The 24,547-nt window shown below is 61.1% G+C and overlaps 1 protein-coding gene across 28 annotated transcripts in view; it reads left to right on the top strand.

Moving 5' to 3' along the window:
* KIF1A (kinesin family member 1A) overlaps positions 1-24,547 on the top strand; it is a 107,637-nt gene that overhangs the window by 32,240 nt on the left and 50,850 nt on the right. For 13 of the 28 annotated variants that reach the window (NM_001379653.1, NM_001379650.1, NM_001379645.1 and 10 more), the window contains exons 4-19: positions 934-1,113; positions 1,848-1,913; positions 2,651-2,829; positions 4,064-4,175; positions 5,348-5,425; positions 6,055-6,120; positions 6,557-6,574; positions 13,238-13,313; positions 14,903-14,981; positions 15,908-16,050; positions 18,060-18,193; positions 19,458-19,537; positions 19,956-20,031; positions 21,819-21,898; positions 22,143-22,249; positions 23,371-23,454. In NM_001379653.1, the coding sequence (NP_001366582.1) occupies positions 934-1,113; positions 1,848-1,913; positions 2,651-2,829; positions 4,064-4,175; positions 5,348-5,425; positions 6,055-6,120; positions 6,557-6,574; positions 13,238-13,313; positions 14,903-14,981; positions 15,908-16,050; positions 18,060-18,193; positions 19,458-19,537; positions 19,956-20,031; positions 21,819-21,898; positions 22,143-22,249; positions 23,371-23,454 (1,558 nt within the window). Of the gene's footprint in view, positions 1-933; positions 1,114-1,847; positions 1,914-2,650; positions 2,830-4,063; positions 4,176-5,347; positions 5,426-6,054; positions 6,121-6,556; positions 6,575-13,237; positions 13,314-14,902; positions 14,982-15,907; positions 16,051-16,567; positions 16,595-17,984; positions 18,194-19,457; positions 19,538-19,955; positions 20,032-21,818; positions 21,899-22,142; positions 22,250-23,370; positions 23,455-24,547 lie in introns of all 28 variants that reach the window. The other 15 variants (NM_001379635.1, XM_047444819.1, NM_001330290.2 and 12 more) reach the window with 3 other exon arrangements.

Genomic DNA, 24,547 nt, shown 5'->3' with positions numbered 1-24,547 from the left:
ACTTCTCTGAGCCGCTCATTCCTCTCTAACTGGGGCGAGGACCCCACCCTGCTCCCCTGGAAGGTCACCCTGAGCGGTCCTCAGCGAAGGCAGTGATGGAGGCTGCAGGAACTGAGGGGCCTTCAGCTCCGTGTGGGTAGTTTCCAGGGTCAGAGCTGTGTGTACGTCCATCTGCTGGTGACTTTTCCCCCAGACATCCCAAAGTCAGAATGCCCAAAGCTGACCCTGAGCCTGTCTGGAAGCTGTGCCCTGCATGCTGGGAGCCCAGGAGACCCCTGGACTCTTCTCCTTCCCTCCTCCCCGATCCAGTCCACACTGAGCCCTGTCTTCCACCTGCCACCTCCTGGACCCTTCTAGAAGAAGGCATGCAGCCTCCTCATCTAAGCCCCTCATATCTATATCTCTGAGCACCTGCCCCCCATAACAGCCCCAGGGCTCCCCGCTTCTGCCTTCCCCATCCAGTCCTTCCTCCTTCCAGGATGACCCCCAGCTAATCACCCTGTCCCCCTGCCTAAAGTGCCCCACTGTCCTCAGGACAGTGTCCAGGCGCTGTAGCCCAGCCTGTGGGGTCTCTGGGCCTTTGCACCCTGTCCCCAGTCTCAGCTCTTGTCACCCCTGCTTGTCACGGTCACATGGAACTTACTTTGGCTTTGAGGTCTCACCTCTGGGCCTTTCACATGCTGTTCCCTCTGCTGGAACCCGTCCTGCCTCCTGCCTGGCTGGCCGCTCTTCATCCCGCATCTGTGACACAGAGGGCTTCTCCTCCAGGAAGCTACCCCACAAGGCAGGAGTAGGATGGGGGGCAGGCATCCCTCCCCACTGTGCTGCCCTGGCACCCTGAGGCCCTGGGCATCCCCTGGCTCCGCAGACATGATGGGCTGAGCCTCGGATGCACCCAGCCTCCTGCAACTTCATTCCTTCCTCGTCCTCCAGCCTGAGGACATCAACTACGCGTCGCAGAAGCAGGTGTACCGGGACATCGGCGAGGAGATGCTGCAGCATGCCTTTGAGGGATACAACGTGTGCATCTTCGCCTATGGGCAGACGGGTGCCGGCAAGTCCTACACCATGATGGGCAAGCAGGAGAAGGACCAGCAGGGCATCATCCCACAGGCACGAAGCGGGGGGCGGGCGGGGGCAGCCCTGGCAGATGGGGCGGGACCAGCTGAGGCTGAGAGCTCCGGGCCAGGCACCCCTGAGAGCAGCCCCCAGAGAGCAGGGAGTCAGGAGGGGAAGGCCAGCTGGGTCAAGAGTGGGGCTGGGGCAGGTGAGAGCCAGATGTGGCTGTGAAGCTGCAGACCCAGGCCCCAGGTGCAGGAAGGGCCCTGGCCTTGGACAGGGTCCACCTTGATCATGTGCCTAAGACACAGCAGCTGGGAGAGCCCTGGCTGGGGCAGCTGATCTCTGAAGGTGTGAGGGCTGGCAGTGTGGGCAGAGAGAGGTGCTCAGGACAGGGGTGGCCAAACACCAGACCCAGCAGCTCCTCATTTGCTGCAGGAACCCTGAGTCCCCAGCCATTCCCCTGGGCAGGTCTCTGGACGTGAGTTGGTCACTAGTACTTTGCCTGCTGAGGGAAGGGAGATGGCTGGGATGTCTGTAGGATGGCAGAGCCAGGGGGAGGGGCAGATGACCCACACCAGCCAGGGACCCCTGAGTTAAGAGGGAGACACTGGCTCCTTGGCTACAGACTTTCTCAGTGCCTTTACCATGACGTGTGTGGTGAGGGTGCAAGAGGGGCCTGAGAGGGTGGATCCCGCCTGGCACAGGCTGCCCACAGTATCGCAAGGGGCAGGGATCCAGGGAGCAGCCCCAGCCCTCCCTGGCTGACTGTCCCCCCATTCCTGCAGCTCTGCGAGGACCTCTTCTCTCGGATCAACGACACGACCAACGACAACATGTCCTACTCCGTGGAGGTAGGGCTCCCCGCCTGCCGTTGGCCGCTGGGGCAGGGCTGGGAATCTGGTGTGGCTGGCAGTGCTTTTCTGATGCAAAGTGAGTGCCCACCACGGGTCTGCACGCCCAGCTTGTCCCTCACTCATCCAAGTGGCAGGCAAGACGGCGGGCCTGGGCAGGGCTCGAGACCCCCAAAGCACAGAGTGATGAGGTGATCCCCACCTGGCAGGTGCTTCTCCAGCAGCTGCTCTGTGCCAGGGCATGGGCAGGTGCCTCAGAGCTCAGGGCCTGGCCATGCCTGCCGTGGCTGGGGTGGCCCTGGCATGTGTGTGTCCTAGAGCCCAGGATGGCCGTGGTGAGGGAGGCCACATTGACACCCCTGCCTCGAACATACACACAGGGGCTGCAGACTGGGAGCCCTCTGCTCAGCAGGCAGCCCCCACCCTCTCACTCAGGGGTCCTGATGGCAGCCCCCACCCCCTCACTCAGGGGTCCTGATGGTGGCCCCTACCCTCTCACTCAGGGGCCCAGCAGGCAGCCCCCACCCCCTCACTCAGGGGTCCTGATGCTGGCTCCCATCCCCTCAGGGGTCCTGGTGGTGGCCCCCACCCCCTCACTCAGGGGTCCTGATGGCGGCCCCCATCTCCTCACTCAGGGGTCCTTATGTTGACCCCTACCCCCTCACTCAGGGGTCCCCCCAGTGGCAGCCCCACTCCCTCGCCTCAGGGGCCCCTGATGGCCTGGCTCTGCCCTGCAGGTCAGCTACATGGAGATTTACTGTGAGCGCGTCCGTGACCTCCTGAACCCCAAGAACAAGGGCAACCTTCGCGTGAGGGAGCACCCACTGCTGGGGCCCTACGTGGAGGACCTCTCCAAGCTGGCTGTCACCTCCTACAATGACATCCAGGACCTCATGGACTCAGGGAACAAGGCCAGGTGGGTGGAGGGACTCACTGGACCTCCCTGCCCTCCTGTCCTGCCGCCTCTCCCCGGAGGAAGCCCCTTCACCTCGGTCCTGGCCCTTTTTGGTAGGGTCCATCTGTGCCCCCGCGGAGGTGTGGCCTCCTGAGCCCGAGGTCGTTTAGGCCTGTGCCAGCCCGAGAGAGGCCGAGGGCTCCCCCTGTGCAGGGGACACTGTCACCTCCATGGGGCTTCTCCTTCATGGGGGTCTGCGTCCTCCGGCTGAGGTGCCCGGGGGGTGCTGGCAGCATCTGTGGCTGCTGCTTCGATGGGGCAGCTGCTCTGCTAGTCCCAGGGGTCCACATTCTGTGTGGGGGCCAGTGTGCTGGGGTCAGGGGGCATGTGGGGAGGGTCGGCTGCAGTGCTGCAGCCATAAGCAACCTGGCTCCTTGGCCTCTGCTGCCCTGGGCCTCCTGCCTGGGATGCCCTGGTTGTCATGGCAACAGACTCCCTCTGCCACCCGGGACTTCCTGAGGGTGAGGTGATGGCCCTTGTCACTCTCAGCTCCTGAGGTCGTGAGTCACACTCTGCGCCATCCTGCACCCCTTTGGTGGCCCCACAAGGGCTGGTGGGTGGGGGTGCTGTTCCTGATGAGGCCCACAGCGCACCCTGGCCGTCATTGTGACTCCGTGCTGGAGGTGGGCCCTGGGCTGCCACATCCCATGTGCTGAGTCTTGGGAACCTTCCCTGAGGTCCCTGGCAGGTCAGGGTGGCATCAGGACCAACTCCAGGCCACCCTCAGCAGCCTTGGGCTTCCTGTTCTGGAGGACCCTGCCGAGACCCATGCCATCTCCTGAGGGGTGTGGCGGGCTCCTTGGGCTTCCCAGAGCCGCGGGTGTGGGCCGTGGTAGGGTGGACAGTGGACAGCCCTTTCCCCCTTCCCCTCCCATATCATGGCCCTGGAGGGCTCCTGCCCAGCTGGGCACTGCATGGGCTTCTCTGTGCCCAGGAGTGGGAAGCTTTCGCAGTCACTGCTGCCCTGAATATACCAGCAAGGGCTGGGGCTGAGGACGCCACTGTGGGCAGGTGGCCATGGGCCCTGCTGGAGTCCTGGCAGGAGGCGCCATCAGTGCCAGGCCCAGCAGGGCGGCCCCTGGGGTCTGGGGGAACTGCCCCCCCCGATGACCTGGTTCAGAGGGCTGGCACCACCGGCGATCTCGCACCCGGCCACAGGACGAGGGGTAACCGTGCGTGGCTTTCTGCTCCTCAGGACCGTGGCGGCCACCAACATGAATGAGACCAGCAGTCGCTCCCACGCCGTCTTCAACATCATCTTCACCCAGAAGCGCCATGACGCAGAGACCAATATCACCACGGAGAAGGTGAGTGAGTGGCCTCACAGGCGGTGCCACCAAGGGCAGTGGCTGGTGGTCAGGGTAGGGGTGGTGGTCAGGCCAGTGGGGGCAGCACAAGGACAGGCCCAATGCTGGCCTGTGCAGGGCGGGTAGTGTCCTCACACTTACACTGGCACCAGGTGTGGACGTCCCCCCCCCCGCCCCAGAGGCCCTTCTCCCATGCCTTGGCATTCTCCATGGACCAGGCCAGGGGGCCATCTTCTGGGGCTTTTGCCTGGACAGCCAGTCCAGGCTTACGGGAGGGGCAGCAGGAGGGCACCCAGCCTCTCCCTGACCATCTCTTACTCTGTCCCCTGCCCTCATGCCCCAGCTGTCCAGGCCCAGGGGCACCTCAGCCACCACCTGGTTGGGGGCTCGCTCAGGCAGCCGTGTGGGGAGCGCAAAGGGGCTGGGTGGAGTGAGGGCTGCTCAGTCCCTGATGGTGCTGGAGGTCCGCCAGGCACATCCTCCTGACCGGGACTCCATGAAACAGTGAGCGGGGGCTCAGGATGGCTGAGGTGGGTTGGGGGACAGACGAGGGTGAAGCTGGACGAGGTCGGCGCGGCTGCCTGCCCCGCTGCCCTCACTGGTGGGCACCGAGAGGGTCCTGTGGTGTCCGTGGGCAAGTCCTGCCCTGTAGCTATGGCTCAGGAGGGGCCAGGCCTCCCGGTGCAGGGCCTCCCACCCCAGACTGCGGGTGCCCCTGTTGGGAGCCTGGCCGGTGCCCACCTCGCTAGGTGCAGCCATGGCCCGTGTGGTGGCTGAGCAGGGCCAGGGCCTCCTGGAGCTGGGTTCTAATCCAACCACGGACACTGAGCACCATCTATGGAAGTGGGGACAGTGACAGTCGCACCTCGTGGATGCCATAGGGAGCGAGTACGCCCTTGTGTGAAAACCACCCAGCGTGTGGTGGCAGCGCCCGTGCTCCCCTGGGGAGGTGGCTGGGCACTCAACTCGGGCAGGGCCTTGGGAGAGCTGGGACGGAGGTGCGGGTGGAAACTGCGGGGTCAGGACTGCTGGGCCTGGGGAGGGGCGGCGCCTTGCAGAGGGGACGCTTGGCCAGGGCTCCTTCAACAGCTGTGGAGACCTTGCCCAGGGGTCCTGGGATGCCCCCGCGCATCTTGTGGCCTTTCCTGCATGTGATGTATCTACTGTTTCAGGTGAGCAAAATCAGCCTGGTGGACCTGGCTGGGAGCGAGCGGGCTGACTCCACGGGAGCCAAGGGCACGCGCCTCAAGGTAGGGGCCAGGCCGCCATGCGGGGACCCGTGTCCACATTTGGCCTGCTCCAGAGTGGGTGGCAGGAGGGCTCTGTTGGGGTCCCGGGGGCCTGGGCCACCCTGAGGGTGAGCCTGCATAGGGAGGGTGGGCATAGGCTGGGGTCTTGGGCTGCCAGCAGCCGAGGGCCATGCCCGGGGCACCAGCGCTGGGCACACAGGTCAGGGGTTTGGCGGGACGGTGTCCTCTTTCGGGCCCCAAGGACCTTGCGCCCAGAGGCCAGGTCTTCCCTGGGGAGATTGGGGCACCACCCGGGAAGCAGTGCCGGGGTCGGGAAGGAGTGTGTTTCCTCGACCCCTGCTGGCCTCAGCACTAGATGCTTGGGCAGGGGACCCGGAAGCATTTCAGGGGGACATGGGATGATATCAGGGTTTGCATGGGGCTGAGGGCAACACTGGGGGACATGCTCCTGGCCAGAGGCTCCAGCTGGCTTTCTGCCAGGGCACCCCACGCCCAAGTGGCCCCAGAGATCAGCAGCTGCAGTGGTGGCCTCCACTCCACACTGCACAGGTCCACCCAGGGCATCCCTCCAGAGCAGGAGGCCCCACGGGTCCCCAGCATCCCAACCCCACTGTCTTTTCTGCCCGCAGGAGGGGGCCAACATCAACAAGTCGCTGACCACCCTGGGCAAGGTCATCTCCGCCCTGGCTGAAATGGTGAGTGGCCCGGCCCGGCTTCCATAGCCAGAACCCCAGAGGGTCTTTGGCGCCCCATCCTGCCCCTGTCACCCTCGTTTCCGGGCCCTGTGTCTGGGAGGTGGCCAGGTTCAAGGGAGAGCCCGGAGATGGCCAGAGTGTCACATGCTGGAGAAGGGGTAGGGGCCCTGGTTTCTCCCGGGACCCTCAGTTTCCCCGCCTGTAAAGTGGGGCTATGGCCACAGTTGGCCCCGTGCAGCAGGCAGCCCAGGCCTGGGCCCGGGAAGGGCGGCCCTGGAGGGACCCTGCCTGGGGGAGCTGCTGTCTAGGAGACCACGGGGTGGTAGAGCCTGAGTCATGGCCAGGGCGAGGCAGCCGGGCCGCCTGCTCTTCCGCCCCCACAGCCCGCGCCAGCTTCGCTCCGGGCCTCAGCCTCTCTCTGTCTTTTCCTTTTCAGGACTCCGGACCCAACAAGGTAAGCGGCTTCCTTCAGCCCCGGGGCAGGTGCGGGAGGCTGGTGGCGGTGTCTGCCCTGCATTGGCGCCCTGTGGTGAGGGGCGGGGCGGGCAGTGAGTGCGCTGGGAGATGGGGGACGTGGGGGTGGATCCCGGGAAGGAAGAAAGCGGGTGTGGGAGGCCCCGTGCGGTGCCTGTGCCTGCGGGGACGGAGGGCGTCCGGGGCGGCCTCACGGCAGGGCCTGGGGCGGGGGCTGCTGGGAGACACCGAGGTGGGAAAGTGTGGCCCGGGGGGCGTGGGGGCCCTGGGAGGAGCTGAAAGGGGCGCGGAGGAGCCCCTCGGACATGGAGAGGGCTGGGGAGCCCTGAGAGGAAGCGGGTGACAGGCGTGCTGGACTCTGAGCAGCCGTAGGCGTGACGGGGCCACAGGGGGAGGCGGGCGCGTGTGGAGTCGGAGGTGCCGCGGAGCGCGCCACGTGTGAAGCTGCCTGGGGCGACGCTGGGGACTGTGTGAGGAACCGCGTGGGCAGCCGTGAAAGCGTTCGAGGGACCGGCAGGAACGGAGTGAGCCAGCGTGGGAATGCGTGAGACAGGGCGGGCGCCACCACGGGGATCCGCGAGGTGCTCACTGGGAAACGCACAGGGAACTCGGCGGTGGCTGTGTGGGGACAGAGAACTGTGTGAATTGTGAAGAGCTGTGCGGCCCGTGTGAGGAGTTCCAAGAGACTAAGAACACGTGGGGCTGCAGGAAGAACTGGGAGAAGGCGTGTGGACTGAGTGGGGAACTGTGGAGAACGGTGTGGCGAACCCGAGTGGGAGCCAGGCGAGGAAGCTGAGGGCCCCTGTGGGGAACTGTGTGGGGAACTGTGTGGGAACGGGAGAGGAAGCGTGTGGGAAACGGCACAGGACACTGCGTGGGACTGCGGGAGACGGAGGACCTGCGTGGGGAATTGTGTGTGGAGCGGAGTGAACTGTGAGGAGCGGTGATAACCGCGTGGAACTGTCAGAGAACGCTGGGGAATGGCGTGGGCGGCGTGGGGAGGAAGCGGAGAACGATCCGCTGTCCAGATTGTGCGGGACTGTGAGGAGCTGTGTGTGTGTGTGTGGAGCTGTGTGTGGAGCTGTGTGTGTGTGTGTGTGTGTGTGGAGCTGTGTGTGTGTGTGTGTGTGTGTGTGTGGAGCTGTGTGTGTGTGTGTGGAGCTGTGTGTGTGTGTGGAGCTGTGTGTGTGTGTGGGGAGCTGTGTGTGTGTGTGGAGCTGTGTGTGTGTGTGGAGCTGTGTGTGTGTGTGGAGCTGTGTGTGTGTGGAGCTGTGTGTGTGTGTAGCTGTGTGTGTGTGTGTGGAGCTGTGTGTGTGTGTGGAGCTGTGTGTGTGTGTGTGGAGCTGTGTGTGTGTGTGGAGCTGTGTGTGTGTGTGTGTGTGTGGGGAGCTGTGTGTGTGTGTGTGGAGCTGTGTGTGTGTGTGGAGCTGTGTGTGTGTGTGTGGAGCTGTGTGTGTGTGTGGAGCTGTGTGTGTGTGTGTAGAGCTGTGTGTGTGTGTGGAGCTGTGTGTGTGTGTGTGTGTGTGTGTGAGCTGTGTGTGTGTGTGTGTAGAGCTGTGTGTGTGTGTGTGTGTGTGTGTGTGTGTGTGTGTGTGTGTGGAGCTGTGTGTGTGTGGCGCTGTGTGTGTGTGTGTGTGTGTGTGGAGCTGTGTGTGTGTGTGTGTGGAGCTGTGTGTGTGTGTGTGGAGCTGTGTGTGTGTGGAGCTGTGTGTGTGTGTGTGGAGCTGTGTGTGTGTGTGGAGCTGTGTGTGTGTGTGTGTGTGTGTGTGTGGAGCTGTGTGTGTGTGTGTGTGTGTGTGGAGCTGTGTGGGGAGCCTGCAGAGAACTGTGTGTCCAACTCTGTCAGAAGCCGGAAGAACCTGTGTGAGGACCAGAGGAATAAATGCCTCAGGAACCGTGGTGGGAACCCGAGGAACTCTGGGGGCCTGAGGGTAGCTGCGTGGGAACATGAGCTGTGCGTGGTGCCGGGACAGGACGTGTGTGCCACAGGGTGGGGAGCTACGTGGAATCATGTGAGGGAACCGTGCAGAGCTCTCTGTGCAGCTACGGGAAAGTATGTGAGAAACCGTGTGAGGAATTGCGTGGGGAACTGTGGGAGGATTTGTGAGAAACTGAATGTGACTGTGTGGAGAAGGCGGGGAAGCAGGCGGGAAGTGTGTGGGGAATCGCTTGGGGAAAGTGTGCGCTCGTGTGGGGAACCACATGGGGGCTCTGTGGAGCTGGAGCTCCGCGTACTCTGAGGACCTGTGGAAATGGGAGCGGAAGTGTGTGGAGGGGTGTGGGGCCGCGTGGGAATCGTGTGAGGGACGCCGAGGAGCCATGCAGCTGCTCGGGGAGCGGTGCTGGGCTGGGAGAAACTGCGGGGGGCCAGGCGGGTGGCTGCTGGGAAAGGCATGAGGAACCGTGTGAACGCTGCGTCAGGGACTCGGGGGATCTGTGGAAATGTGGAGGACACTGTGGGGAAGCGTGCGGGAACTCGGAGGAACTCGCGGGGGCCTGAGAGGAGCCACGTGAGCCCCCGTCTGAGGCACTGTGAGAGGATCTGCTTGAGAAACTGTTTGTGGAACTGTGAAACTGTGAAAGTGGGTGCAACGGGGCTGTGTGGACCTGTGTGGAATGCTGTGGAGAGCTGTTTGAAAACGGAAGCACCGTGGGGCGTGGGGAGGCCTGGGGGGAAACATGGGACAGCCTGCGTGTGGAGCCATGTGGGAAACAACAACTGGGAGGCAGTGCATGCGGCTGCGTGAGGAGCCGCAGAACCGTGCGAGGAAGCGTGTCAGCCAGTGTGGGGAAGTGTGGGAACTGTGGGGAACTATGAGGAACTGAGTGTGGAACTGTGAGGAACTGAGTGAGGAACTGTGAGGAACTGAGTGAGGAAGTGAGTGTGGAACTGTGAGGAACTGAGTGTGGAACTGTGAGGAAGTGAGTGAGGAACTGAGTGTGGAACTGAGTGAGGAACTGTGAGGAACTGAGTGTGGAACTGAGTGAGGAACTGAGGAACTGAGTGAGGAACTGAGTGGAACTATGAGGAACTGAGTGTGGAACTGTGAGGAACTGAGTGTGGAACTGAGTGTGGAACTGAGTGAGGAACTGAGTGAGGAACTGAGTGTGGAACTATGAGGAGCTGAGTGAGGAAGTGAGTGAGGACCTGAGTGTGGAACGATGAGGAACTGAGTGTGGAACTATGAGGAACTGAGTGAGGAACTGAGTGAGGAACTGAGTGTGGAACTATGAGGAACTGAGTGAGGAAGTGAGTGAGGAACTGAGTGTGGAACTATGAGGAACTGAGTGAGGAAGTGAGTGAGGAACTGAGTGTGGAACTGAGTGAGGGACTGAGTGTGGAACTGAGTGTGGAACTGTGAGGAACTGAGTGTGGAACTGAGTGAGGGACTGAGTGTGGAACTGAGTGTGGAACTGTGTGGAACTGTGAGGAACTGAGTGTGGAACTATGAGGAACTGAGTGAGGAAGTGAGTGAGGAACTGAGTGTGGAACTGTGAGGAACTGAGTGTGGAACTGAGTGAGGGACTGAGTGTGGAACTGAGTGTGGAACTGTGTGGAACTGGGTGGGAACATGGAGGTGCTGTTGGGGACCCGTGAGGAGCCGTGTGGAGCGCTGTGTGTAGGAACGGGGTGCACACGGGCGAATGGCCTGAGGAAGTGTGTGGAAAGTGTGTGTGCACCCGCATTGGGGATGGCGTGAAGGGTTGTGTGAGGAACGTGTGAGGAAGTGTGTGAGCCATGGCGGGAGGAGCTGTTTGGGAAACGTGGGGAGCGGTGAGGAACCGTGTGTGGAACGGTGCGCAGAATCGTGAGGAAAGCTGCAGAGACGTGTGCGAGGGGTTGTCGGGGAGTGTGAGGAGCTGGATGGGAAGCTGCGGGGACCTGCTGGGCGCCGCGTGGAGCTGTGGGAACCGGGAGGAAGTGTGTGGAAGGGGGTGGGGAGCTGTGTGGGGACGGGGGCCGAGCTGAAGGGGTTTTCGGGAGCTGCGTGGCTGCTGTGAGGCCCGTGGGACACTGAGAAGCCTGTGTGTGTGTGTGTGTGTGTGTGTGTGTGTGTAACGCTGTGCGGGAGCTGCGAGCGCCTGCTGAGAGCTCTGAGAAATGGAGGATCGTGTGAGGCCTCCCGTGGGGAGCCGTGTTAGGAAATGTTGGAGGAATGTGGGCAAGTTTCTCTGGAGCTGTGAGGAACCGTGAGAGCGAGTGTGTCAGGGACGGTGGGGACTGGCGTGTGGAGAATGGTGAGGAACGCCTGTGTAACGAGGCCCTATGTAGAGACCTAGGTGAGGATCGCGTGGAACTGTGTAAAGAACTCCACAGAGAACTGTGACAGAATTGCGTGTGGAACTTGTGGGGAAACTTGATGAATGGTGTGACCGGCAGCCATCCCGTGGGTGGGGTCCGCATTCGAGTGACTGCCGTTTTCCTGAATGGAGGAATAAAGGGGGAAGCAGGAGGAGCTGCGTGAAGAACCGTGTGGAGAAACGCGAGGAAGTGCGTGGGGAGCGGGAGGAGCTGAGGAACTGTGTGGTGAGCTGCGAGCAGCCGCGTGGGAACCGTGCGGGGAACGGCGAGAGCTCCTTGAGGGACTGAGTGCTTGAGCGTGCGGGACTGACATGTGGAAGCACCGCGTGGGAACCGCGTGACTGTCTGTGTGAGGGACTGGGAGGGAAAGTGCGAGGGACCCTGCGAGGGACAGTGACAGAGACTTTTGAAGGAGCCGCGCGAGAGGGTTTTCGAGGAACTGGTTGAGGAGCCAGGCCCAGAGCAGGGAGGCGAGGCCGGCAGGAGCCGGGCCCGTCTGAGGATCCGAGGTCCCTCCCGGCTTGTCAGGAGCTGCCTGGGGGAGCTTTAGTGGCAGCAGCGGGCGGGTGTTCAGCGGGGCTCACAGTGTCTGCTTTAGCCAAGGGTGCGTCCTCAGGCCATGTGCGCTGGTGACGGATAGGTCGGGAGCAGGTGGCCTGGTGCGGCAAGTCAGGATGGAAGGTCAGCGTTCCAGGCTTGGGATGGTGGAGGCTGGGGGGCCTAGACGGGAGAGCGGGGTGGTCCTGGGAGATGGCAGAGCACGACTGGACAGGGAGGCGGTGAGGGAGCAGGAAACCCAGGGGGCTGCTGGGCTCCTTGCTGAAGTGGCTGAATGGCTGGAGGACATTTATGTGGAAGCAAGGAATGTGACACATAGCAGAGAATTCACCCTCAGGAATTAAATAATCAAAAACCAAACTAGAGGCCGGGCGCGGTGGCTCACGCCTGTAATCCCAGCACTTTGGGAGCCCGAGGTGGGTGGATCACGAGGTCAAGAGATCGAGACCATCCTGGCCAACGTGGTGAAACCCTGTCTCTACTTTAAAAATACAAAAATTAGCCAGGCATGGTGGCACACGCCTGTAGTCCTAGCTACTCAGGAGGCTGAGGCATGAGAATCGCTTGAACCCGGGAGGCGGAGGTTGCAGTGAGCCGCGATCGTGCCACTGCACTCCAGCCTGGTGACAGAGGGAGACTCTGTCTCAAAAAACAAAAACAAAAACAAAACAAAAGAAAAACTAGAAATAGAGTAGAGTTAGTCCCTACTAAGTTTCCAAAGAAAAAAGAAAGCAGTCAGTTATGCTGCTGAGCTGCGAGATGGACACCCTGAAACCCTGCTCGCAGAGAAGCCAGTGCAGTATTCTGGACCCCCTTTGACTGGGAGTCTCAAGAGCTTTCAAATTTTATGTGCCTTGTGAGCTGGTGGAGCTTCTCCTGGGGTTGTCTTCAAGAACAATGATGTCTGTGTGTGCTCCCAGCCCTTGAGGTGGCATCTGCGTGCATGTCCTGGGGTGCAGGCTCCAGGGTCAGAGGCCTCATCTGCCGGCCCAGCAGGTGCTCTGGAAATGCTTCATAAGCCAATGCATACATGAACCAGTAGACATTGGAAGTCACTGAAACCCACAGTTAGTGGGATCATTAAGTCAGTCACAGAGTGTCTGTCAGAAGCAATTCCTGGCAGGCATTATGTGGATGGAGTCCATATTTTAAAGAGCCAAAGAGGCAGCAAGAGCATGGAGGATGCTTCATTCTGAGGGGAGGGATGGGAGAACAGGCCGTTAGAGGAAAGCTTGTGAGCTGGCTTCTGCAGGACCATAGGGAGTTTGATGGGGGAGAGGGCGGGTGAACTCTGGGTGAAGGGGAGATTTAAGCTGGCAGGGAGGTAAGCGTGGCAGAGGCCATAGGGGCCTGGAGGGCCACATTTAGCTGTGGGGCCTTTTCCCTTGGGTCAGGAGTCGCTGATGGTGTTCGAGGAGGGGCCATGGACTCAGATGAGTCCTTCAGACAGAGTGGAGGGAGGACACACTTGCTGGTGACATCAGCACTCCTGGCCGGTGTCCAGCTGGGTGGCCCAGGGGCAGCAGGGATGGAAGAGGGAGGAACCTGAAGGACATGCTAGCAAGTCCCTGACTGTGGCCTAGAGGAGGCCTCTGGGGTGGCGGCCTGGGGTCTGGGCAGGGAGAGGCCTGGGCAGCCTGAGAATGTGTCCAGCAGAGCGGGCCCCGCCCCTTGCCCAGCCTCCAGCTTTGAGGACCCACTTGGCAGGGCCTGCGCTGGCCCCTCCCTTTCGCTTCCTCTGCAGTGGGCTCGGGCTTGACCTTGAATGTTCCTCCCCCACAGAACAAGAAAAAGAAGAAGACAGATTTCATTCCGTACCGAGATTCCGTGTTGACCTGGCTCCTCCGGGAAAACCTGGGTGAGAACTTGTGGGTTTGCCTGTCCCCAGGGCTCTGATCCCACCCTGGGCTGTGCCCTTCTTCCCCACTGAGGGGGTGCCCAGTCGCCAGCAGGCCTCTCACCCTTTCTGGGCTGAGGCTGGGAGGTGAACCTGGAGGGTCCAGTCAGTTCGTGGCCCTTCTGGAGGACCTGGGGCAACGGCCAGCAGTGGGTTAACGAAGCGAGTGTGGGAACCAGGACAGCCCAGGGGGTGGCACAGCACACACCTGCCTGTGTCAGTGGTCCTGGGTCAGGTGGGCTGTGACACCCAGGCCAAGTACTCATCCTTCTCTGGGCCTTGGTTTCCCCATCAGTCACGGGGACCTGGGACGCGATCTGGGAGCTCTGCTTGCTGGATTTTGAGGGGCTGCCATAAACCTCCTCTTCTCCGTCTGAGTTCTGAGCAGTGAGACTTAGACGGGGAGGTGGGAATTGAAATGCACCCGACGCTGATCCCGTCCATCCCGGAATAACCTCAGAGTCCTCCCCAACTGCATTTACAGCTGGAGAGGCTGATGCCCAGGGAGGTAAACTGAGTCTTGGGCTGACCTGGTGAACATAGATGACTGGGGGTCCCTGGCCTCCCTCAGCCGCATGGCTGAGGTGTGCAGAGCCCTGGCTGACCACCTCTGCACCCCACAACTAGCCATGCTTGCTCCCCAGCTCAGGTCAGTATTGCAGACCGCAGCAGGCCTGCGGATGGATGGGCCCCGCTGAGAGAGGAGGAGAGTGTGTTCCTTCACCTGAGACGTGGGCTGGGAAGGAGCCGCCTGCTCCAGGCACACCCAGGTTCAGTCCCAGGGCGGGGGCAGGGGAGTCCTCCCACAGAGGCTTTCCTGGGGCCCGTGTGGTATGTGCCCAGCCCTTCACACCGTCTCTTCAGTCCCTATGGGGACCCACTGGGGACCCATGCCCTGGGGACATGGCCCTGAGGATACACAGTTCCCTGGGGTCAAGCAGGCAAGATCATCTGTCCAGACTTGAAGCACCGCCAGGCAGCAGTCCTGAGGGCTGGCGTGGAGTCAGTGGTGATCTTTTCCGATGGCTGAGGTTACCTAGACAGGATTCCCTCAAGAGAAAGAACACAGTCTGTTCCTCATGCCACGCATTACCTGATGCTTTGATCCTACTAACCTGGGCCAGGAATCTGATGTTAAATACTGAGGAATATATTTCAAATGAAAATGATAGAAGTGCTTGAAAAAAATATTGAACATAAATGGTATTTATTTTGGAGTAAATACTTTAAAACCCTCCACAACTTTCCTCTCTGCTTTGGGGAAAGGAAGGCCTGATGGTTGTAAAATGGCCCCAAATGTGAGAAAAACACAAGTAAAAGAGAAATAATAGCGGTGCCTGGTTCAGAGATGAAGGAGCAGCCAAGGAAGGCCAGGTCCTTGCTGTTGTCTGTGTTCATGGGGTGGGGGTGGGGGGGGGGGTAAGCCTGTGACTCAGTTTACCTCTCTGGGCCTCAGCCTCCCCATCTGTAAATGTGGGGGGAAGGGGGGAGCAGACATAGCCCTGGGGCCTAGATCCCCCTCTGGGCACAACCTGGTCTTCTTCCCACAGGCGGTAACTCAAGGACAGCTATGGTGGCAGCCTTGAGTCCTGCAGACATCAACTACGATGAGACCCTTAGCACGCTGAGGTGAGTTCTCCAGGGAGACAAGCTCTGCTTCCCGCTCCCTGGTCTTGGGGGATGGATCCTCTCGTGCTTGAATTAGGAAGCACCAGTGACCAGGGGCGACTCTTTGTGAGGGGTATACCCTGGACTCTGTGAGGCTGGAAGAGACTGTTCTGAGGCTCCTGGGCCTGCATAGGCCCTGTTCTATTCCCTCCATGGAGCCTTTGGGGGTGTGCTTTGGGGCTGCAGGCAGCCCAGGGCCCCGTGGCACCAGACTGGGAGAGCTGTGCCTGCTGGGCGAAGCAGTTTACACTCACCTGCCGGCCGGGGTAACCACTGGGGATTTTTAGATAGCAGAGGGGACATAGGTGTGTCTTATGGGCAGGGTGGGCACCTGGGGTGGGGAGCCTGGGCCCCTAGCCATGCTAGAGGCTGCTCGGTTGTTTGGGTCAGTGGTCTCTCCCTTCTTTCGACTGTGCACCACCAGTGCTTAAGAGAAACAAAGGGCGTGTGGCCCAATAGAGGTTCATGTACTAGCTGGAAACGTAGACATGTGCATCGGCTGGTACACGGTGTGAGCACAAGCCTATGCACACATAGATGTGCTCACATTTTCCCACTGGACTTTCTCCCTCTACCCTGGGACCACTGGGGGAGAGGACACCACCCTGTCCCTTCTCACCTGGGCCTCAGTTTCCCCAAGTGGGCGAGCGGGAACTGGGTGACCTCCCTTGTAAGTCTTCTCTGGCCTGTGGCCCCAAATGCCCTCCCCAGCGACTTGCCATGGGGGCGATTTCTCACTCTGTGCCAGGCTGTGCTGGCTCAGGTCCACCTTTGGCCTGGCTGCTGAGCCCAAAAGGCTGGGTCTTGGGCAGGGCTCTAGGCACCCTTGGGACCTGCCAGATGTGGACCTGTCCCGAGCACAGCCCACAGCCCCCTCTGCCACCCAGGTATGCTGACCGGGCCAAGCAGATCCGCTGCAATGCTGTCATCAATGAGGACCCCAACAACAAGCTGATCCGCGAGCTGAAGGATGAGGTGACCCGGCTGCGGGACCTTCTGTACGCCCAGGGTCTTGGCGACATCACTGACAGTGAGTGCCTGCTCCAGCCTGTCCTGGACAGGGTTGTGGGGCCTCAGGCTCAGGGGCCTCGCAGGTCATCACATCCTCTCTCCTGGGGCCACCACTTTGCTGGCTGCACCCTGGGCTGTGGCAGCTCCACACCGCTCCCAGAGCCCCTCTGGGCCAAATCCCTGTCCCTGCTCCACGTTCCTGGGCAGAAATGCCTCTGGGTGGGAGGCCGGGCGGGGGCCCTGGACAAGGGCAAGTTTCCTGGCCTTGGCCTGGATGGTACCACATGGTTTGGGTTCAATGCTGATGCAAGTGGGCCAGAGACGGCTCCCCTGGAAGCCCCATAGGCAGGCTGTGGGTGCTGGGGTCACCGAGGTCCCCCGCGTTCTGGAGCTGAAGACCTTCACCACCCTGCTTGTGGCCACACACCCACTGCTGGCCACCCTGGCCTGTGAAAGGCGTGCCTGACCCTCTGGAGACAAACCTGTTCTTCTGTTTCTCTGTCTCTCCCCCTCCCCCACGCTTCCCTCCCCCATAGCCAACACTGTGCCTGGAGGACCCAAATGTGTGTATTCCCTTTGCTGCTCTCTGCATCTCTGCTTCCAGCCCCAGCCAGCATGAGGGCCTAGGGTGGCATGGTCAGGGAGGGGTGAACCCCAGGGTACCTGCTCTGCTTTCTTCTCCTTTTTGGGGGGCAGAAAGCACTGCTCTCCCTCAGCCACAGGGCCCTGCTCGTAGATGTGGGATTCTGTCTGCCTCTGAGCCCACACTCCTGGCTCCTTCCCACCCATATGGTCTACATGAGAAACCAAAGCAACGGGGGAGTCAGGGTGTCGCTGAGGCCTTCTCAGGCTAAACATGGCCGAGATCAGGTCCTCTGACCCCCTGTGCACCCAAAGGCCTGCGAAGGTCAGGATATCAGCACCAAAGGGCCAGGAGGGCTGGAGGGACTGTCCTGTCCCCAGCTCTTGGCTCAGGCCTCCATCTGCAATGCCATTTCTCCAGCTGACCTGACCCCCCACGCCCAGGCCCTCAACTCTGGAAATGCCAGAAGCTCAGCTTTCACAGCGGATACTGCCAAATCCCACCCAACCTTTGTGCCTCCTGGCCTCGGGTCTGGCTCCATGGGGCTCAGTGCCTCCCCGAGCTTGGCTGCAGGGCGCCCTCCACTTCCCCCACACCCCGTGTGGTCCCGTGCTTGCTGCTGCTCTGCTGTGTGTTCGCTTCCGCTAGGAGACCCCTGGCACCACCCACTTCAGAGATGTCACAGCCCCACCTCCCGGGCCTTAGGGATGCATGAGGCCTAGGCTGGTGGGTGAGCTCCTCGTGGTGGAGGGGAAGGGCCTCCCTCATGAGGGTCCCATGTTCACCTCCTCCAGGATGGTCTCTGGGCCAATTTCCATGTCAGTGGGCTGAAGGTTAGCACAGCCTGGCCCCACAGCTCGGGGGTGTGTGGTGTCCCAGGCTGACGGTGGATGTGAGGGGTGGGAGGACAAGCGTGGGGGTCTGCACGGGGCGCTGCTGGGTGACCACGCCAAGCCAGTGGACAGGGTGGGAAGATGCAGGGAGGACTGGCTCCCAGCCCTCAGGTGTGGGGGCTGTAGGGTGGCCTGGCAGTGGGGCCTGGAGTGCAGCTGTGGGAAAGCAAGAAGCCTGGCGCAGGGGGTGCAGGGGAGCTCCAGAGTGCCTAGGTCTGTGCCATGCTGCTGCTGGGGAGGGCAGGCCTGGGGGGCAGGCGGGCAAGTGCGCGCCACTGCTGGCCCCGTCCCATCGTAGGCAAGGGGTGGCAGGAAGGCCTTGCATGCGCTTGTCCTGGGCCTGGCAGGGCTGCTGTGCCTCGTTGATGGTTTCTGTTTCTTGCCTTCTCTGGGCCCCATCTCTTACTTTTTCCCATCTTCATCTTTTTTCTCTCCCTCCCTCTGTCTGTCTGCCCGCCCTACCCCTCCTCCCCATAGACGTGTCCGACCTTGAGAACAATAACCTTAACCGTGGCGGGACGGTGAATGAAGCCCCTGACCCTCTCTCCACAGTGACCAATGCCCTGGTGGGTATGAGCCCCTCATCCTCGCTCTCAGCCCTGTCCAGCCGCGCGGCCTCCGTGTCCAGCCTCCACGAGCGCATCTTGTTTGCCCCGGGCAGCGAGGAGGCCATTGAAAGACTGAAGGTGAGGGCACCACCTGGGGCTTCAGGGTGTCAGACTCTGGGAGTGGGGAGCTCGGAGGAGTTAGAGAGGCACCCTGCCCTCCTGGGTACAGCCCATCCTCATAGGGCCATTGTGGAGCATCAGCAGGAGCCTCTGGCGTGTGGCCACCCAGGTGCCCAGTGGTCTATCTCCAGACCACCCACAGCAGCCAAGGCAGCCAGTTCACTTGGGGGTCCCCAGGCTGTGGGCTGCACAACACTCAGCTGCTGGGCAGGAAATGCGCCTGCAGGACCCTAGACCTGGGTGTCTGGATGGCCTGTGCCCCTACCCATGCCAAGCCTGGACAAGGGAAGCTCCAAGAATGAATGTCCAGGACTGAGACTCTTCCTGTCGAGTCTTTAATTGTGTGAGTGGGTGCTTGTTCAAGGAGCAGTGAGCTGGATGGCATCTGTGGGTGGAGAGGAGTCTCGTCCCTCCCCACCCCGCAGCATCCCCTCCACTGACGACAGTCCCAGGTCACAGCAGCTTCCTCCCTGGCGTCCTATAGAATTATACCCCCTGAGAAGGGCAGTGAGTGTGGTGCAGGTTCCTGAGCTCCCTCCAGGCCATCCTGTGTTCACACCTGCACACCTGCCTGGGAATAGTCACCACCTCCCACCGCTCAAAGGCACAGTGTGCTCCCTGGTGCCCAGCAATGGGCCGGGATCATTTTAGGTTTCTAGACACATGCCCCTCAGTGAATGGCTGTGCAGGGGCAGGTGAGCCACACGCCTGGAGACTGAGGGGCTGAGGGGAAAAGGCAGAGGCCCCACTGAGGCTGTTGTGAGGAAGGGGATGGGGGCGAGGTTGGGCCTGTGACCCTGGAGCAGAGAGCCCTTCTGGGGTGTTGGGGTCCCACTGGGCTGTGGGTGGGAAGAAAAAGGAGAGACCAGGCTGATGTTGGGCAGTGTCGTCCATGTCCTGAAGAGGGCTGAGCACCTGGGCCTCTTGGCAGCAGCGAGGATGGCTGTGCTTTAGGAGCCGAGGCTCAGAATCTCCCAGGAGCATTTGCTTCTCTTTTCCTTCCAGATTTGTTTTGCGTTTTCTCCATTCTCCTGAGTGTGTCTAAGGGAAAGACAGACATTCTCTGAGCTTTACCTTGGTCTTCTGGATGCCTCGTTGCCTTGTCGGGCCCAGGAATATGGCGCTTGTGCTTTGCAGCTCCTTCTCCTGGCACCCGTGTCTCCATTGTCCTCTCCCTTGGCCCTAGCCCCGGCAGCTCACTGTGCTCTGCCTCAATCCCCAGGAAACAGAGAAGATCATAGCTGAGCTCAATGAGACCTGGGAGGAGAAGCTGCGGCGGACAGAAGCCATCCGGATGGAGAGGTGTGCAGCGGGGAAACTGAGGCCCAGGGGGAGGGGTGCAGCCAGCAAGCCCGGAGCCTGGGCAGGATGAGCACTGAGCCCTGCCCTCCAGTGCTGGGCACCTGCACCATGGGGTGGCCACATCCCAGCCCAGGGCAAACCTGTTCCCTCATCGCCAATGACCCCCACCTTGTGTACTGCTGGCTGCTAGCCACCAAGGCCTGAGAGACCTGAGGCCTGATAGACCTGATCCCTGACCATGGTGCAGAGGGGCCAGTCCCATCAGCAGATGCCCTAACCCAGTGACCAGATGGGACACGCATGGGCACCACCCAGGCCACGGTGGCCACAGGCCCGCTGCCCCCATTGGTCAGCCAGGGCTGAGGCCAGTGCTGGAAGCCTTGTGGAGCTTGTGCTGACCTCAGCTCTGTTCCCCCAGGGAAGCCCTGCTGGCCGAGATGGGTGTGGCCATGAGGGAGGATGGCGGCACCTTGGGCGTATTCTCTCCCAAAAAGGTAGGAGCTATCTCAGTTCTGTGGTACTGCCCTCATCTGAACAGGACCAGGTGAGGTGCTGTCTCAGGTAGAGCCAGAGGGGGCTCCTGGAAGTAGGGGAGCACGGTGGGGCTCTGGCCCAGGCACTGGGGCTGTGAAGCTCACCCATAGTCACACTTTGCTTTTTGTGGAGAATTCTGTCCCCACATTCTCATGGTGGGGCATGCTGGTGGCTTTGGGACATCAGATGGGTCTCTTAGTGGCCTGGAGTGTGGACTGGGCTCTCCAAGGTCAGAGCAAGGCTGAGGAGCCAACACCCAGGCTGGAGACTGAGACACGAGGGGCCTGGACCTGCCCTGGAGCCTGGGCTGCTCACAGAGCTGGGTGCCAGCTGCCTTCTTGGAACTCAGCTAGAGTCAGGTCTGACTGTTCCAGTGGGGACCCCTCTTTTCCCACCAGGCCAGGCCTAAGGGGTCTTTCAGCTGGAGGCCCTCACATGGCACAGAACCCCTGGGCAGCTGCTTCAGAGTGTATATGACTCCTGTGCCCCCATCCAGCAGCCCAGGTGGGGCATGGCACAGCAGCCCAGGTGGGGCATGACACACACACTTGGGAAAAAGTCTTTCTTGTGGTTCTAGTCCCCAACCCCCACACACCCACCCCAAAGATGGCCAGGACATGGGGACAGACACCTGTGTGTCCATAGCTTGGGAGGGGCTGGGCAGGGCTGTGCTCCAGGCCGCCGGCCCAGCACGCGCTGAGGTCCGGAGACAGGAAGGGCCTGAGAAGAGCTGTAGGGAGATTCCAGTCCCAGGCAGGGCCGGGACAGGCAGTGTCCTAATGGGGCTTCACTATACACGTCTTCTAGACAGGCCTTTGGTTTGGTCTGGAATGGATTGTTCCCTGCACTGTTTCAGACCCCATCCCCTTCCTGGAGGGATAGGGTGGAACTCCAGGGGTGCAGCTTTATTGGTTGCCCTGGGTCTGGGCACTGCCCAGAAGTGGGACCACTGGGGACCCCCTTCTTGAGAAGTTCAGTGTTCTTGGGAATCACGAGACGTGCACAGGCCAGTGGGGTCCCAAGGCTGTAGCCCCTACTCAGCCCCAAAGCTGTGGGCACAGCCCCTCCTGGCTGGACATCTTCCCCACTCAGGGGGCAGGGACAGCTGGGGATGGTCTGTCCCCTTCGTCCAGTGACGAGGTCTCCACCTCTCTGCATGGGGGTGCCTCAGGTGGCTCATCAAGGATCCCTTCACAACTGCTTCACTCCCCAGACTCCAGGGCTGAGCCCTCCATGGTCAGTGTCCTGATCCTTCTTGGCTCTTGGCTCCCACTGGTGAACCCATGGTTTCTGGGCTGTCTGAGCTGGAATGGGGTCCTAGAACCCCATTTTACAGTCCAAAGCTGGGAACCCAGGACCCCATGGGACAAAGCCTGTGGTCTGCACATCTGGGGGCTCACCCCAGCCTCAGAGGGCCCCAGGGCCCCCACATGCTGAGAGCTGGGGCTGTCTGCCCTTCTGGAAGCTCAGCTTCTGCTGCAGTGCTGGGGCTGCTGTGCCAGGCTTGGGTGTATGCGGGTGGTCGGGTCCCACCGGCCTGCTGCTGTTGGTGGGCTGGGCCTTCGGCTTGAGCTTTCTGTGTTCCTCATTTTCCTGGCTTGGAGTGACCAGCCTGGTGGCACCAGCCAAGTGCGGGGGCAGGGACCCTGGTGGTAGTCTGGTGCCTGGAGAGAGGTTGGAGGGGGGTGTGGCCAGCATCAGGCTCCTGCCCCTCTGCAAGAGAGATGATCCTCCTGTCTCCCTGCAGACACCACACCTCGTCAACCTGAACGAGGACCCGCTGATGTCTGAGTGCCTGCTCTACTACATCAAGGATGGGATCACCAGGTGAGAGGGGACCTGGCAGCCACTCCAGCCTGGCCAGGCCCTGGGATCTGGCAGGGGAAGGCTGGACTCCCCATTCCTGCTTCTGCAGAGGGGCCACTGAGTTTGGACTTCCCCAGCGACCCCACTGATGTCTGCGCTGGGTGTTTCCCAAACAATCCTGGTTGGGCGTCCCTGGAGGCCAGTGGGTGGCGTCCTGGGTGTATTGGGTCCCAGCTGCCGTGCTGATGGTGCCCCCACCCCGCAGAGTGGGCAGGGAGGATGGCGAGAGGCGGCAGGACATTGTTCTGAGTGGGCACTTCATCAAGGAGGAGCACTGCGTCTTCCGGAGCGACTCCAGGGGAGGCAGCGAAGGTATCACCACCCTACCGTCCCTACCCGCACCCATGCCCCTGTGCCGTGATGATCAGGCCTGAATGAGGTCACCCTCTCCCAGCTTACCCAGCACTAAGTGGGTCGCGAGTCATACTTCTAGGCAGGACGTGTGTGTGTGTGTGTGTGTGTGTGTGTGTGTGTGTGAGAGAGAGAGAGAGAGAGAGAGAGAGATTTGGAGAGAGAGAGAGATATTTGGGGCCAGCCTTAAAAACAACTTCCATTAGGTTGGTGCTTGGGAAAATGCCTGGTACTTTCTGTGGCCAGGGGTAGCTGCTGCCTTAGGGAGCTGAGCCTCCTTGAGGGCTGGAGGTGGGGGCACAGGTGGGCTGCTGGCCGGGAAGCGTGTTGGGGCCCAGGGTGGAGGATGTTCATGGCGGGAGGACAGTGAGCCATGAGGATTGAGCCCAGATCTAGGGTGGAAAACTATTTCCAGACCTTGGTTTCCTGTTGGCTGTGGGCGGCCATCTGTCCGTTTCCCCTGCCTGCCCAGTGGTCTCCCTCCTGGAGATGACGTGGGGCTGTCCCCATTGCCTGGTGCTGCCCAACTTGGGGATGGGCCTGTGGTGTCAGTGTGCCGTCACATGGCCCACAGCCCAGGCTAAGGGCATCTCCCGGCAGCATCCAGCCAGCCTCTGGCCTGCAGACCTGTGACTGACACCCACTGTCCAACTTGGCCACCTCAGGGTGATGGCCCTAAGTGGTGTTGGGACGATTGGCTCTCCTGGAATTCTCTGACTGCAAAGCCCTGCCTACCCTCTCCTGTGGGACGGCCCAGGCCCCATTAGCTGGTGTTTTTATCCTTGTCCACCTGGGGAGCTGGACAGGGCCCTGGGTGATTAGGCCCAGCACAGCCTCTTGGCTTCAACGTGGGCACATGCATCCTCCTTCTGGGGGTCACTTTCTTCCTCTGTTAAGTGGGGTGAGACCCCTAAGCTCCTCTGAGGCCCAAATGAGTGTTGCCAATGGTCACGGCCTGTGTAGCAGGGAAAAGAGAGGCGAGAGGCTTGGAAGAGGCCATGCCCGGGGGCCAGGTAAGCCGAGCTGCTGTAGGTGACAGCCCCTCATAGTCCTCCTCTCTGCCCCTCCCACCTTTCCTGTAGCTGTGGTGACCTTGGAGCCCTGTGAGGGGGCAGACACCTACGTCAATGGCAAGAAAGTCACAGAGCCCAGCATCCTGCGTTCAGGTATGGCTGGGGACTCCGGGGGCCAGTCAGGTAGGCAGAGGCATGAGGCGAGGCCTCTGTTCCCATGTCCAAGCCACCGCCTCCTGTGCACTGTGCGGGATGGCAGCTCTTAAGGGCCGCTGGGCAGGTAGGGGAGGGGGCTGCGGGTATCCAAGCAGCTCATGTGCCTCCCCAGTCCCCCAACTCCAGGAACACAGCACTACAGGCCCCATTCACACAACACAGGGGCCCCGAGACACTGAGTCCGTGCTGTGGGCTGAGTGAGGAGCCAGGGTGTGCCTGCCTAGGAAGAAGCTCCTGCCTCCTGGCCCAGGACTCTGCCCTGTCGGGCTGGTCTGGGGGATACAGGGCAGTGGACAAGGGCTTCCCAGAGCTGAGGTGTTGTGGAGCTCAGTGGGGTGGGCTGCTCCAGTCTCTGAATGCAGCACCCCGGGTGGGGTTGGGCTCTGTTCCCAGACACTGCAGTGTCTGTGATGTTCAAACACGTGCAGGCACACGTGGCATAAAGTCCCTTCTTTAGAGAAGTCAGACAGTCAGACAGGGGGCCCTCTTGAGTGGTGTGTGACTATTGCCCACGCAGTTAGGGTTCTGCCAGAGAAACAGCAGCAGCCTGATGCACAGACATGGCTGTAGACATGTACCGAGATGTAGTGAGATAACGTACAACCATGTCTAGGTATAAAGAGATTTATTTCAAGGAATTGGCTTATCAGATGGTGGGGCTGGTCAGCGAAGTTTGAAATCCATGGGCAGGTGGCAGTCTGGGAACTCAGGGCAGGCTGGGAACTCGGGGCAGGCTGGGAACTCGGGGCAGGGTGGGAACTTGGCAGGAGTGGACTCCATCCGCTGGGTTTCTTCTTCCTCAGAGGAAGCCCCAGTTTGCTCTTAGGTCTTCACCTGCTTGGATGAGGCCCACCCCACCGTTGGGGGCCTCCTTGATTTCCATCAGCTGATTGCAGGTGTGGAGCACATGTGCAGAAACCTCCACACAACACCCAGGGAGGGTGTGGCTGAATCACTGGGTGCTGTGGCCTGGCCAGGCTGACATAAAAGTGACCATTGGCTTGGAACAGGGGAGACCCTTTCCTAACCC

The sequence above is a fragment of the Homo sapiens genome, chromosome 2 (genome assembly GCF_000001405.40).
Source record: "Homo sapiens chromosome 2, GRCh38.p14 Primary Assembly".
NCBI classification, from domain to species: domain Eukaryota; kingdom Metazoa; phylum Chordata; class Mammalia; order Primates; family Hominidae; genus Homo; species Homo sapiens.
This window is presented reverse-complemented; position numbering and strand designations above follow the sequence as displayed.